The sequence below is a fragment of the Homo sapiens genome, chromosome 12 (genome assembly GCF_000001405.40).
Source record: "Homo sapiens chromosome 12, GRCh38.p14 Primary Assembly".
In the NCBI taxonomy this organism is placed as follows: domain Eukaryota; kingdom Metazoa; phylum Chordata; class Mammalia; order Primates; family Hominidae; genus Homo; species Homo sapiens.
In genome coordinates this window covers 70,690,917-70,703,155 of record NC_000012.12, presented here as the reverse complement: position 1 = coordinate 70,703,155, position 12,239 = coordinate 70,690,917, and the positions used below count along the sequence as shown (strand labels likewise).

General features: G+C 35.6%; 1 protein-coding gene across 9 annotated transcripts in view; it reads left to right on the top strand.

The window, feature by feature from the left end:
- The window catches only part of PTPRR (protein tyrosine phosphatase receptor type R), a 282,666-nt gene that overhangs the window by 217,583 nt on the left and 52,844 nt on the right, over positions 1–12,239 (top strand). For 8 of the 9 annotated variants that reach the window (XM_011538615.3, NM_001207016.1, NM_002849.4 and 5 more), the window contains 2 exons: positions 1,833–2,019; positions 4,807–4,891. In XM_011538615.3, coding sequence (XP_011536917.1) covers positions 1,833–2,019; positions 4,807–4,891 — 272 coding nt within the window. The remainder of the gene's footprint in view (positions 1–1,832; positions 2,020–4,806; positions 4,892–12,239) is intronic. The other variant, NR_073474.2, reaches the window with a different exon arrangement.

Genomic DNA, 12,239 nt, shown 5'->3' with positions numbered 1-12,239 from the left:
ACACAATGGCTGCAATGTACAAGGTAAAAACTGTTAGAAGGAAAAATAACAAGCATAATTATTGTGGAAGACTCACATACATATCTCAGGCTTTGACAAATCCAGTAGAAAAAAAAAAAGGAAGGAAAGAATAGGTTGGAATAAAGTAATATCTTCAATAAAATAATGGTATAATAAATAAGGTGATATATATGTATATATGTGCAGATAGATACTTATGAACATATACAGATAATCAAACTAGATGCCAGCAAAACATCTGTGAAATATTTAGAAAATGATGTAGTGTTTATCTCGAAAAAAAATCAAGTAGTTTCAACCATTAAAAGGCCAGCCATTCTCTAATTTCCACAACTATAACTAGAAATTATAAGGAAAATAAATGTCTAAACTTACAGATATCCATCAAATTAAAGTAGAAATTAAAATCTCAATTACAAACCATTTAGAAATTAACAAAAATGACATTACATATCAAATTATAGAATGACAACAAAAATGCAACCAGAGGCAGATTCATCAGAGAAGAAAACTGATAGATTTTCGTTAATGGATTTTGTTGTTGTTGTTGTATATTCCAATAATTTTCCACTGTTTGAAATTAAGCTCAAGCCACTGTAATATTTCTTAATGTCGCATTCCAGAGTAAGTATTAAAATACCAGAGGGAATAATTTGCTGGGCCTAGCATCTACTCTTACTGTCTTTACTCTCACATATTTTGGCCTGTTTTTCCCTGCTCTCTACTTCCTTGAGCCGCCAACTGCTTGGCACTATATTTGATCTGACACACACCTACGGCCCCTTTAAATGTAACAGTTTTTGTAAACACCATCTCTGACTTCAATCCTCAGTCTCTCACATGCTATTTCATAGTTACCCCTTGGTCCACACAGCTAATATTACTTGTAAAAGGCATCCTCACTTCCTACTCAGGACTCAGGGTCTGTGTAAGTTGTAAGAGCATCCCCTTGCCCCCCAGCGGGAAAAGGGGAATTATGAGAGGAAGATAAATTGTAACTCATTTTAAGGGTCTGTGATTTCTATGGCCCCTTATAAGTTTACCACAAAATTAAATGAATTCGTGTGTCAATTCACATATGCGTGCATACATATACACATAAATAGAGGATACAGAAGCCATCTTTTTTTATTTTTATCTATTGTTTTATTTATTTATTTTAGAGCCAAGGTCTCTCTCTGCTGCCCAGGCTGGAGTACAGTGGCACCATCACGGCTCACTGCAGCCTCAACCCCCCGGGCTCAAATGATTCTCTCACCTCAGCCTCCCTAGTAGCTGAGACTACAAGTGTGGGTCACCACATCCAGCTACTTTTTGTATGTTTTGTAGAGACAGGGTTTTACCATGTTGCCCAGGTTGGTCTTGAACTCCTGAACTCAGGCAATCCACCCACCTCAGCCTCCCAAAGTGCTGGGATTGCAGTCATGAACTACCTCATCTGGCCCCAGAAGCCATTTTTTAGGGATTCACTCAGAAGATATAGATATAGATATAGCTTTTCCTAATTTTTTTTTACTTAATTTTTCACTTAATATTATTAGCCAACCTATGATTTCTGTAATAAGTATATGCATTCATAAATTATAGCATATTTTCTCAATTTAGAGTTCTTTCCAACAACAAAATTGTTATTTTCCTGTGAAGGAACTATGGGTAGTTGCTATGGCCAACCATGATACTAAAAGAGAAAATATAGTTGGTTGTTATTTCTGTAAAAGTTCTCACTGAATTGTGTGCATGTACAGAAAGACAAGTTTTTGCAATCAAAATAAGTATGTGGTGTTTAAACATAACATTCTTCTCCAATGTAGAAGAGGGTCCAACGTATCTCTTACATTGGACATGAGTAGCTTGGGGAACATTGAACCCTTTGTGTCTATACCAACACCACGGGAGAAGGTAGCAATGGAGTATCTGCAGTCAGCCAGCCGAATTCTCACAAGGTCTCAGCTGAGGGACGTCGTGGCAAGTTCACATTTACTCCAAAGTGAATTCATGGTGAGCCTTCTATTTATTGTTCACTCTTCAGTCGGTATTTTGATACATGGGGCACTAGAGACGTATGGAAATGATACTGTCCTATACTTAAGCAGTCTACAGTAAACAAATGGCAAAGTGAAATGGTTTTAGATTCACTCAGTCTCATCCACTATTGATAAGTATTAAAATTGGAATGTAGAGCTAAATTAAGGCAGAATATGCAAGAATTGGTGAGGCAAATAAGTGGTATAGGGAGCTGGGCAGAGAAGGGGCATTCCAGGACAAAGAATAGCCTTGCTGTCACTGTCTGGGGAATTAAACTGTTCAGTTTAACTGGAACATTGAAATCAAGGTGGGAAGTGGCAAAAGTTGAGCCTCAGAAGTATAAAAGAAACCCTAGCCTTAATATATGTTTAGGAGCTTGGACTTTATCTTATGTTTTGGATAGATCATTCTATTTGCAGTGGAGTAGGCACTAAAAGGGAGCAGTTTAGAGGCTCTAGTGTTAATCCTGTGGAACTGCGTTGGTGGCCTAAACTAATATAGTAGAAGGGAAAATGGAAAGAATCTGTAGGAATCTACAAGAAGTGGGATTAATTGAATGAGGCAGCCAAAAGTAATGGAAAAGTCAGGGATTGATATTCGTGTTTTTGGTTTGGCCAACAGGGTGCATATGGTGCCCTTTAACGAAATAAGGAACACAGGAGGAAGACCAAGTGTGGGCTAAAAAGAATGATGAATTCAGTTTTAGACATACCAGTGTTGCTAGTGAAAGCTTAAAGCATGATAACATACATCAACTCAGAGAACATGAAGTAAGATTAAACCTTCTTAGGTCTAATTGTTGCCCAAGGAGAATATTGACTTTGTTGATCACCTCTTGCATCTTAAGCCGTATTGGTTGAGTACAATAAATTGATTATTAGTTCAGGCATTTGCAGCCATCCTAATGGTGACAGATTCAGCAATGGGTTGGATCTACTATTAGCCCCATCAACTATTATTAAGTGTCCAAAGTAAAATACAAACATGAAAATCAGACTCTGTGGTGTATCATATTTTACATGTGAAGAAAATGAGACCTGTAGGAATGAAAGAACAAGTCAGTGGTCACACAGCTAGCCAAAGGCACACCTAGAGCTTTTTTTTTCTAGAACTGCAGACAGCTCTTTGTTTATGAAATAAGACCTTACCATAGCCCACTTTCCTGAAAGGAAATTGAAGGCCAGAAGGAGTACACAGGAGAAAGAGAATGCTGGAAGATGACAGACTGTCAGTGTGTGTCAGAAAACAGAAGGTGAGAAGGAAGAAGGGGAGGAATAAAGATATTACCTTTGTGGCTTTGCCCAAAGACACTGACGTGCTTGAAATTACCAAACATGAACATGTGTTTTCCATTGAATATTCAACAATTTTGCTTATTTTTATAACTTGGAACAAACAGGTTAAAACATTTAGTTGGAGCAGAGAATAGGGATAAATATCATGGATAGCTAGCATAATGCAGGTAAAGGAAAAATTATTTTAAAAATAAGTAACTTGGGGCCAGGTGTTGTGGCTCATGCTTGTAATCCCAGCTACTCAGGAAGCTGAGATGGGAGGATGCCTTGAGCCCAGGAGTTTGAGGTTACAGTGAGCTATGATTGTGCCACTGCACACTGACCTAGGTGACAGAGTGAGATCCCATCTCTAAAAATAAATTAATTAATAAACGAATAGCTGTTTCTCTCTGTAGAACAAGCCTCAAATTCATAGTATAGTCCAGCTTTTCTCAAATTTTCAGAATGACTGAAAACTAGGATAATTTGAATGAATTTAAAGATGATTTCTTCTATTTCAATCAATATTAGACTGTTAAGTTAAATTTTCTACTGGAGAAAGTTTAAGTAGTAAAAATATCTTATTTGATCAAATATTTAATGTTTATCAGTCATTAAATAACATAAAAGTTATTTTGTTCATGTTAATCTTATCAAAGTTAGAGAACATACTATTTTGTATAATCAAATCTTTAAACAAATGTTTGTTTGGACCCTTTTGAAAACTTTGGCTTGTTGCTTTATTTGTCCTGGTTAGCTACAGATACACACCTTTTTAGATCTAATGCACTTACATACAGCCACTCTTTTCCTATTGTTCCCTGTCCAATCACTTGAGGCATATAATGTATACTCTGATAAAATAAGAATAGTAATGTTCTTAAGTGGGAGAAACAGTGTTTGAATGCCCTTCACTAAAAACAGTGCATTTATAACTTAAAATGGAACAGTCCAGTTATAAACCATTTCTTAATTCAAAAAAAAGTCATGTCATCACTTGAATTAACAAAAAAGCCCTTTATATTTACCATTTTGGGAAAGAGGTTTTAATAATCCTAAAAGAGTCACTATTAGTGTGAAAAGATAATCTATTATAGTAAAATTTTTGGTACTAAAGTTATGTAAAAACTGGAATATATTTGAATACATTGTTTTTTAAAAAAATTCACTTTTTAGCATCTGTCTAATCTTTCTAGCAATTATGTCACAGCAGGATTCTTAAAATCTAACCAGTGTTATATGTCTCCTTACTGACTACATATTAAGCAATATTTTCTAACACACAGAGCTGTTTCTTAGAAGTCAGCTTGTCCGGATGCAGCTGATATGTTTAGGAAAGGAAGGGTGTTGGTCCACCAGAGGTGCTAGATCTGTTGTTTTTAAGTGGCTTTGAAGTCCAATAGAACTCTGGATCAGATGCCCCCCTGTGAAGATTTTCTTTGTGGCAGTATTAGATACACTAATTTGATATTATTTATTTTTGCAGGAAATACCAATGAACTTTGTGGATCCCAAAGAAATTGATATTCCGCGTCATGGAACTAAAAATCGCTATAAGACCATTTTACCAAGTAAGCTTCTTGATTTTATAATTTGCATTGTATGGGGGGCAAGGGGAGGGATAGCCATTAGGAGAAATACCTAATGTAGATGATGGGTTGATGGATGCAGCAAAAGCAAACCACAATGGCACATGTATACCTATGTAACAAACCTGCACATTCTGCACATGTATCCCAGAACTTAAAGTATAAATAATAATAATAATTTACATTGTAAAGCACAAGACAAGTCTTCCCATTAACCCTTACCTCAGCATTTCCAATTCTTACAACACCCACTTCATATCAAATTTGGAATTACAAACACATGTCAAGACTAATAATCATTAAAACTATCTGAAGTTAATGATTTTACCTTTTTACTCTTATTATAATGTCCAGGTCACAATTCCAATAGACACATATTCTAAAATTTTGTTGTGCCACACATTATGGCTACCTGATTTTTGTCAAGGGTCAAACAATTCAATGGGAAAAAGAGAGTCTTTTCAACAAATGGAGCAGAAACAACCAGATATCCACATGCAAAAAAATGAAGTTGAAGACAAAAATTGACTCAAAATGGACCAGAGACCTACACATAAGAGCTAGAACTACAAAACTCATAAACGAAAACAGCTGTAAATCTTTATGACCTTGAATTAGTCAGTGGTTTCTTAGATAAGCCAACAAAAGCACAAACAGCAGCAAAAAAAAATTGAACTTCATTAATACTAAAAATTTTGTGCTTCAAAGGATACCTTCAAGGAAGTGAAAAGACAACTCATAGAATGGAAGAAAATAAATATTTGCAAATCATGTATCTAATAAGGGACATGTAGCTACAATACGCAAATCTTACAACTCAATAATAGAAACACAAACAACCCAAAAAATGGACAAAAGATTTCAATGGATATTTCTCCCTAGAAGATGTACAAATGACCAACAAGCATATTAAAAGATGTTTAACATCACTAGCCATCAGTGAAATCAAAACTACAGCAAGATAGTACTTTATATCCATGAGGATAACTATAATTTTAAAAATAGACAATAAAAAATGCTGGCAAGGATGTAGAGAATTGGAAACTTAACACTACAGTTTTAAGTACAGCTACAGCTACTTAGGAAAACAGTTTGGCAGTTCCTTAAAAGATAAAACTGAGTTGCTATATGACCTGGACACTCTACTTCTAGGTAAATATTACCTAAAAGAAATGAAATGTGTTCACACAAAAATGATACAAAAATATTTATAACAGCATTATTCATAATAGCCAAAGAGTGGCAACCATCAGCTGAGAAATGGATAGATAAAATGTAGTATAGTCACACAATAGAATCAATAAAAAGGAACAAGGCACTGATGAACCTTGAATGAACCTTGAAAACATCATGCTAAGTGAAAGAAGCCAGGCACAAAAGACCTCATATTTTGTAGTCCATTTATATGAAATGTCCAGATAGCTAAATCTATACAGACAGAAAATATCTTAGTGGTTGCTTAGCATTAGGGGATATGGAGAATGACTGCTAAAGGACCTGTATTTATTTTGGGGCTAATTGAATGTTATAAAATTGATTTACAGTGATTGTTGCACAGCTCTGTGAAAATTTAAAAAAAAATGCTGTGATGGCACATGAAATGGGGGGATTGTATGGAATGTGAATTATTTCTCAATAAAACTATTACCAAAAAAATGTTGCTGTGCATGACAATGACCTGGAGTCCTTGTTAGTCCTGTGCCCAACCCCAGGGATTTTGTTTAAGTAGATCTGCTGTTGAGCACAGAAAACTACTTTTAGCAAACACCTAGGTGATTCCAATCCAGATGAAACCAGGATCCACTTTGAGAACCACTACTATATGTGAAACTAGATTGAGCTTCATGGAATTTATTAACGTCAAGCAATGACCTGAATGCCAGGGACCAGTAAGAAATAAGAAACAGTCTATAAAATCAAGGAGGTCACAGACTAGAAACGAGAGTCATATAAATGGTAATTATGCTCAGTGCATAGGCCAGAATAAAGATACTGCCCAAGCAGTGTAGGAGTTCAGAGAGGACTGAGTAATTAATTCTGTCCAGAGAAATTAGGCAAAAAAAAAAAAATGGAGAGGAAGTAATATTTTCTATGACTAAACAAACAGATATAGTTGGAGTTTTGGCAAAATCAGTAAACATCTCACGACAAAGCTCAGGAAAGATGGAGCCACAAAGTCTTTTTAACTTTTGACATTGAAATAGCAATCTTCATAATTTAGTTCATTAATTCATTCATAAGACACCAAATTCTTTATATTCATAGTAATGGTGATGTAATAAAGTAATTAAACAATTACTGTTAATACTATCTTTGGCCTTCCCCTTCTGGTGGAATTGGAAATACATTGTTAAACTATAACATATTTTTAACTGCTCTATATAGTTAAATTTATTTACCTAAGGTAGAGTCACCATTGAAGGTTATTTTATGACTATACTTGGCCAAAGGGGATGAAAGTGCTGCGTGTTAGAATTTGTGTTTTCTCTCTCCCTCTCTCTCTCTCTGTTAAATTTTTATCTAAAATATACCAAACATAAGTAATAAGGGAATATACCTCCATCACAATTATATATACCCAAACCATCATCTAATTTTAGAAGGATTTGGAAATTATTAGCATTAGTTCAAAGTTCAGCCTTCTCCATTTCCTGCCCAGATGATATCAGACAACTGCTTCATAGTCCTGTGTCAGTTTTTCCGTTCACAGAACTGGGTGGACCGCTGGATTCAGGGCACCTGTGCTGACAGCTGATGTTGCAAATGATGGATTTTCTGTTGAAAATGTCTGCAGGCTGAATGCCCCACCCACCACCCTCTGTTGCACAAAATATAATTTAGGAAATATAGCTTAGAAAAGCCACACTATTGGGTGAAAGCATCCAAAAAGCCTGGAATGAATACACAAAGATGTTCTTTATGGTTTTAGACTGTAATATGAGATAAACTTGAAATATTACATAAAATGATGATTATTAAATGATCAAGAATTTAAACATTATGATTGTTTTTAGTTTTAACCTACACTAAACTCTTCTTAGTTCTAAAAGCTTGACAGCTTGTACATAATAGCAACATTATACAATTCTGAGAATGCCTTGCAACAGATATATGGATAGGCAAGAATCAATTATGAATAAATCAATTTATAATTATAAATTAAATTATAGTCATTTCTCTAATGACAGTGTTATCTTGGCTGAGATTAAAATGCTAAAGTCAAGTTTATATCAAATTATTTTGCAGTGTAAACAAATATTAGTGATAAAAATATGTCTACATCCTAAATCACAAAAGTAGTAGGAAAAAACAATCATACATCAATAGAAAATTATTAGCAGACAATAAAATATAATACTGTAATAATAATCATACATCAATAGAAAATTATTAGCACACAATAAAATACTGTAATAATAAGTTTAAATTTTTTATTTTTACTTTAGATTCAGGGGGTACCTGTGCAGGTTTGTTACAAGGGTATATTGTGTGATGCTGCCGTTTGGGCTTCTTCTGACGGCATGACACCCAGAGAGTGAACATAGTACCCAATAGGAAGATTTTCAGCCCTTCTCCCTTTCCCTCCCTCCCTTTTTTTGGAGTCCCAGTTACTATTGTTTTCATCTTTATGTCTATGTGTATCCAGAATTTAGCTCTCACTTATAAGTGAGAACATGCAATATTTGGTTTTCTGTTCCTGTGTTAATTTGCTTAGAATAATGGCCTCCAGCTGCATCCATGTTGCTGCAAAGGACATGATTTTGTTCTTTTTTATGACTTCATGGTGTTCCATGGTGTATGTGTACCACATTTTCTTTATCCAATCCACTGTTGATGGGCATCTAGGTTGTTTCCATGTCTTTGTTATTGTGAATAGTGCTGCACTATAATAATAAATTGTATGCATATTTCTTTTATGCAGTGTGTTGATACAAATATAAGATAATATAGATACACTTAAAGAATGCCATTTACTCAGGTCATCATTTTATATTTAAAATTTTAACATCTAATAATGTTTCCTACTTAAATTATGTTTCCTTTTTTATTATATAAAGTACCTAGCACAGAGTAGATATGCAAATAAGTGAACCACTCATTAAAGCAACAAGTTATGTAGCTAAAGCAAGATACTGGAATTAGATTTGATTTCCTACCCCAACAAAAACATTTATAATTTTTGGCAGGATATTTAATCTCCCTATGCCATCCTTTATTCCCAAAAGTAGTGATAACAATACTCTCCTACAAGGCTACCGAGAAAATTAAATGATAGTATGTGTAAAATGTCTGTCAAAGTTCCAACTAATAGTAAGCCCTCAGCTAATGTTAGTTTCTCTTTCCCTCCCTATCTAACTGAAGATGAATCCATTTCTAACCTCAGAACCAATTCCAGGAAATAGGGGTACCATCTATGTATAGAGAAGTTTACAGTTTTAAAAGCAAAGTACTCAAGAGCCCCATTTTCATTCATTTATAACAGTAGTGATGAAAACGATGATGATTATACATTTTTTGTTTAATTCTTGGCTTTTTTTTTTAGTACAAGCTATATATTACAAGAGTTTTTCTTGGAAACCTACATTTCCCCATACTCAGTTATATGTTGTATTCTTGCATTTGTAAAAGGAAGTAGTTGGAGCCACACACAGTGGCTCATGTCCTGGAGTTTGAGACCAGCCTGGGCAATATAATAAGACCCCATTTCCACACACACAAAAAAAGTTTAATTACTAGCCTGGGCAACATGGCAAAACCTCATCTCTACCAAAAAATACAAAATGTAGCCAGGCATGGTGGTGCACATGTGTGGTCCCAGCTACTTGGGAGGCTGAGGCAGGAGGATCACTTGAGCCCGGGAGGTTGAGGTCGCAGTGAGCTGTGATCACATCTGGGAGTAGCCACTGCAATTCAGCCTGGGCAACAAAGTGAGACTCCCCTCTCTGAATTTTTAATAAAAAGGATTTGGAAACTTCTAAATACTTGGAAAATACTGTAAGTTACTAATTACCAACATAATTTAGCTTTACAGGGAAACTGTTTCTAAGCAGTTTTTAGCTTTACCAGTAAATCATATACATCATAGGCATTATAAAAACTGAAGGAAGCAGGCCTCTTTTCAAGCCTGAATGGTGTAGGATGTTTATGGAAACTTCTAACAATCAGTGGATACTGAAAGGCATGAAAGATTTCTTGTCCTCTTTGCTAAGAAAAGAAAAAAATATCTAGAAAGTCAAAAACAGGGCTTTAACTCTTTCTCATAGAAATTAATTCTGACATTAAACCCTCTGTGAGCCACATCCCAAATAGAAATCACAAAGGATACAAAAGTGAATTAAATACAGCCTTTGCCCTCTAGGGGCTCACCACACTCCATTGAGGGCAGGCAGAAATTTAAGCACTTAAAATACAAGATGATAAATACTAAAATAAAACTCAGGGGACCCAAGCAAAGAAGAGAATGCCTAATTCTGCCTGGGAAGGTCAGGGAGAACTTCAGAAAGACAGTATTTTCTGAATTGAGCCCTGAGTAATGAGGAAGACTTTACCATGCAGAGAAGGCAAAGGAAACAATATGTGCAAAAGCATAAAATCTGCAAAAACATAGAACATTTGGGAGATTGCCCTAGGTCCATGGGGCTAGATTATATGATACACGTGGGAAAGCAGCTGTTGGTGAGGCCTTGGGATGATCATTAAGGATCTGCTCTATCTTGCTAAGTACCCCTCTTGGCATTCATCTTCTAGGCCTGCACTGTCAAGTAGAGCAACCAGAACCCACTTATGGCTAGGTCAGTTTACACTTAAATGAATTAAAATTAAATAAAATTAAAACTTTAGTTTCTCAGTTTTTACTAGCCACATTTCAAGTGCTTGAAAGCTAGAGGCTACATTTTTTGGACAGCACAGATAGATAATATTTTCATCACCTCAGAAAATTCTATTGATCAGGGCTGCTCTAAACTGAATTATCAATAAGTATATAAATATAATAGTTAAGTATGTAAATACAGTAGGTATAATAAAATTGAGTCCAACGGACAAATAGGATTATATACAATACCTTCTTGGAAATTCACAGGGTCCATTAACATACTGAAGACCCTGAGAAGTCCTGCAGTAAAAAGAATATGGTTCAGATTTGTTTAACCCAATGTTTCCCATATTTATTTGGGTACTAACCTCTTTTTGTAAAAGATGACTTAATTTATAAGTCATATAGTATAATTCTATATGTTATAGAGGTAATGATTTACAGGTAATAAATATTTTGGGAAATACTGCTATGGGCAATTGGGAAGTATGGATGACATTTAGACAATGGAATCATGTGATCAGATTTTGTTTTACAGAGCACCTTGACAGCTATGAGGAGGATGGATTGGAAAAAAGCAAGATTGAAGGCAGGGAGACCAGGAGATACTTGAGTCCTAGTCCAAGAAGACAGCCATGCAAACAGAGAGGCAAGACAGACCCCAGCGTATTTTAGGAGACAGAACAGGCAGAATATGCTAACATTCAAATGCACAGAAACTCTACACGGACTGTAGAGCTGTGGCAGCACACCTAACCTAAACAATAGCAGAAAGCTGTCAGGAACACATGAAGGGCATGAGGAGTTTCACAAACCTGTGGTCCATTCAGAAGGAAATAATAAATAGAAAAAGCTGGACTATAAATGAGGAGACCGGGCTGGTCTGAAGTATGTATTTGAGAGCCCTCAGGATGTGCGTAATAAAGTCACAGGAATGAATGAGTCACTCAACAAGGCAGTATCAAGTGAGGATAAAAGAGGGTCAAGTTGAATCCTAGAATTAGCAACATGAAAAGGGGCAGATTAAATGAGCAGGAGATTGGAAAGAGGCCACCGAAAAGGGAGCAGGAAAACCAGAACGTTGTGTCCCAGAATCTAAGGGAAGAGAAAACTCGAAAAAAGGATATACAGTCAACAGTTTTTGAATGCTTCAGAGAGGACATGAACAAAAATACCACAATGGGATCACTGGGCTTAACAACAAGAGGGTCAGTGGTGACCTTAGCAAGGGCAGTCTCTGCACAGTGCTAGGGTTAGGATAGATCACAGTGTACATGAGGAGGATTGAGTTGCAGATGAGCATGGAGGAAGTGTGTGTATAATAAACTCTTTCAGAAGTTTGCCTGTCTAAAAAAGAAAAGCAATAGAATAATTGCTAGAGAAGGATATATAGAACTGACCTTTTTTTAAAAAATAGAAGAGATCTTTAAATCAGTGCAGTAGACATTCACTGAAGGTCTGCTATGCAAGACATTAGATCTTATAAAGATGGTGAAAAATCCCCATCCCTGCCTT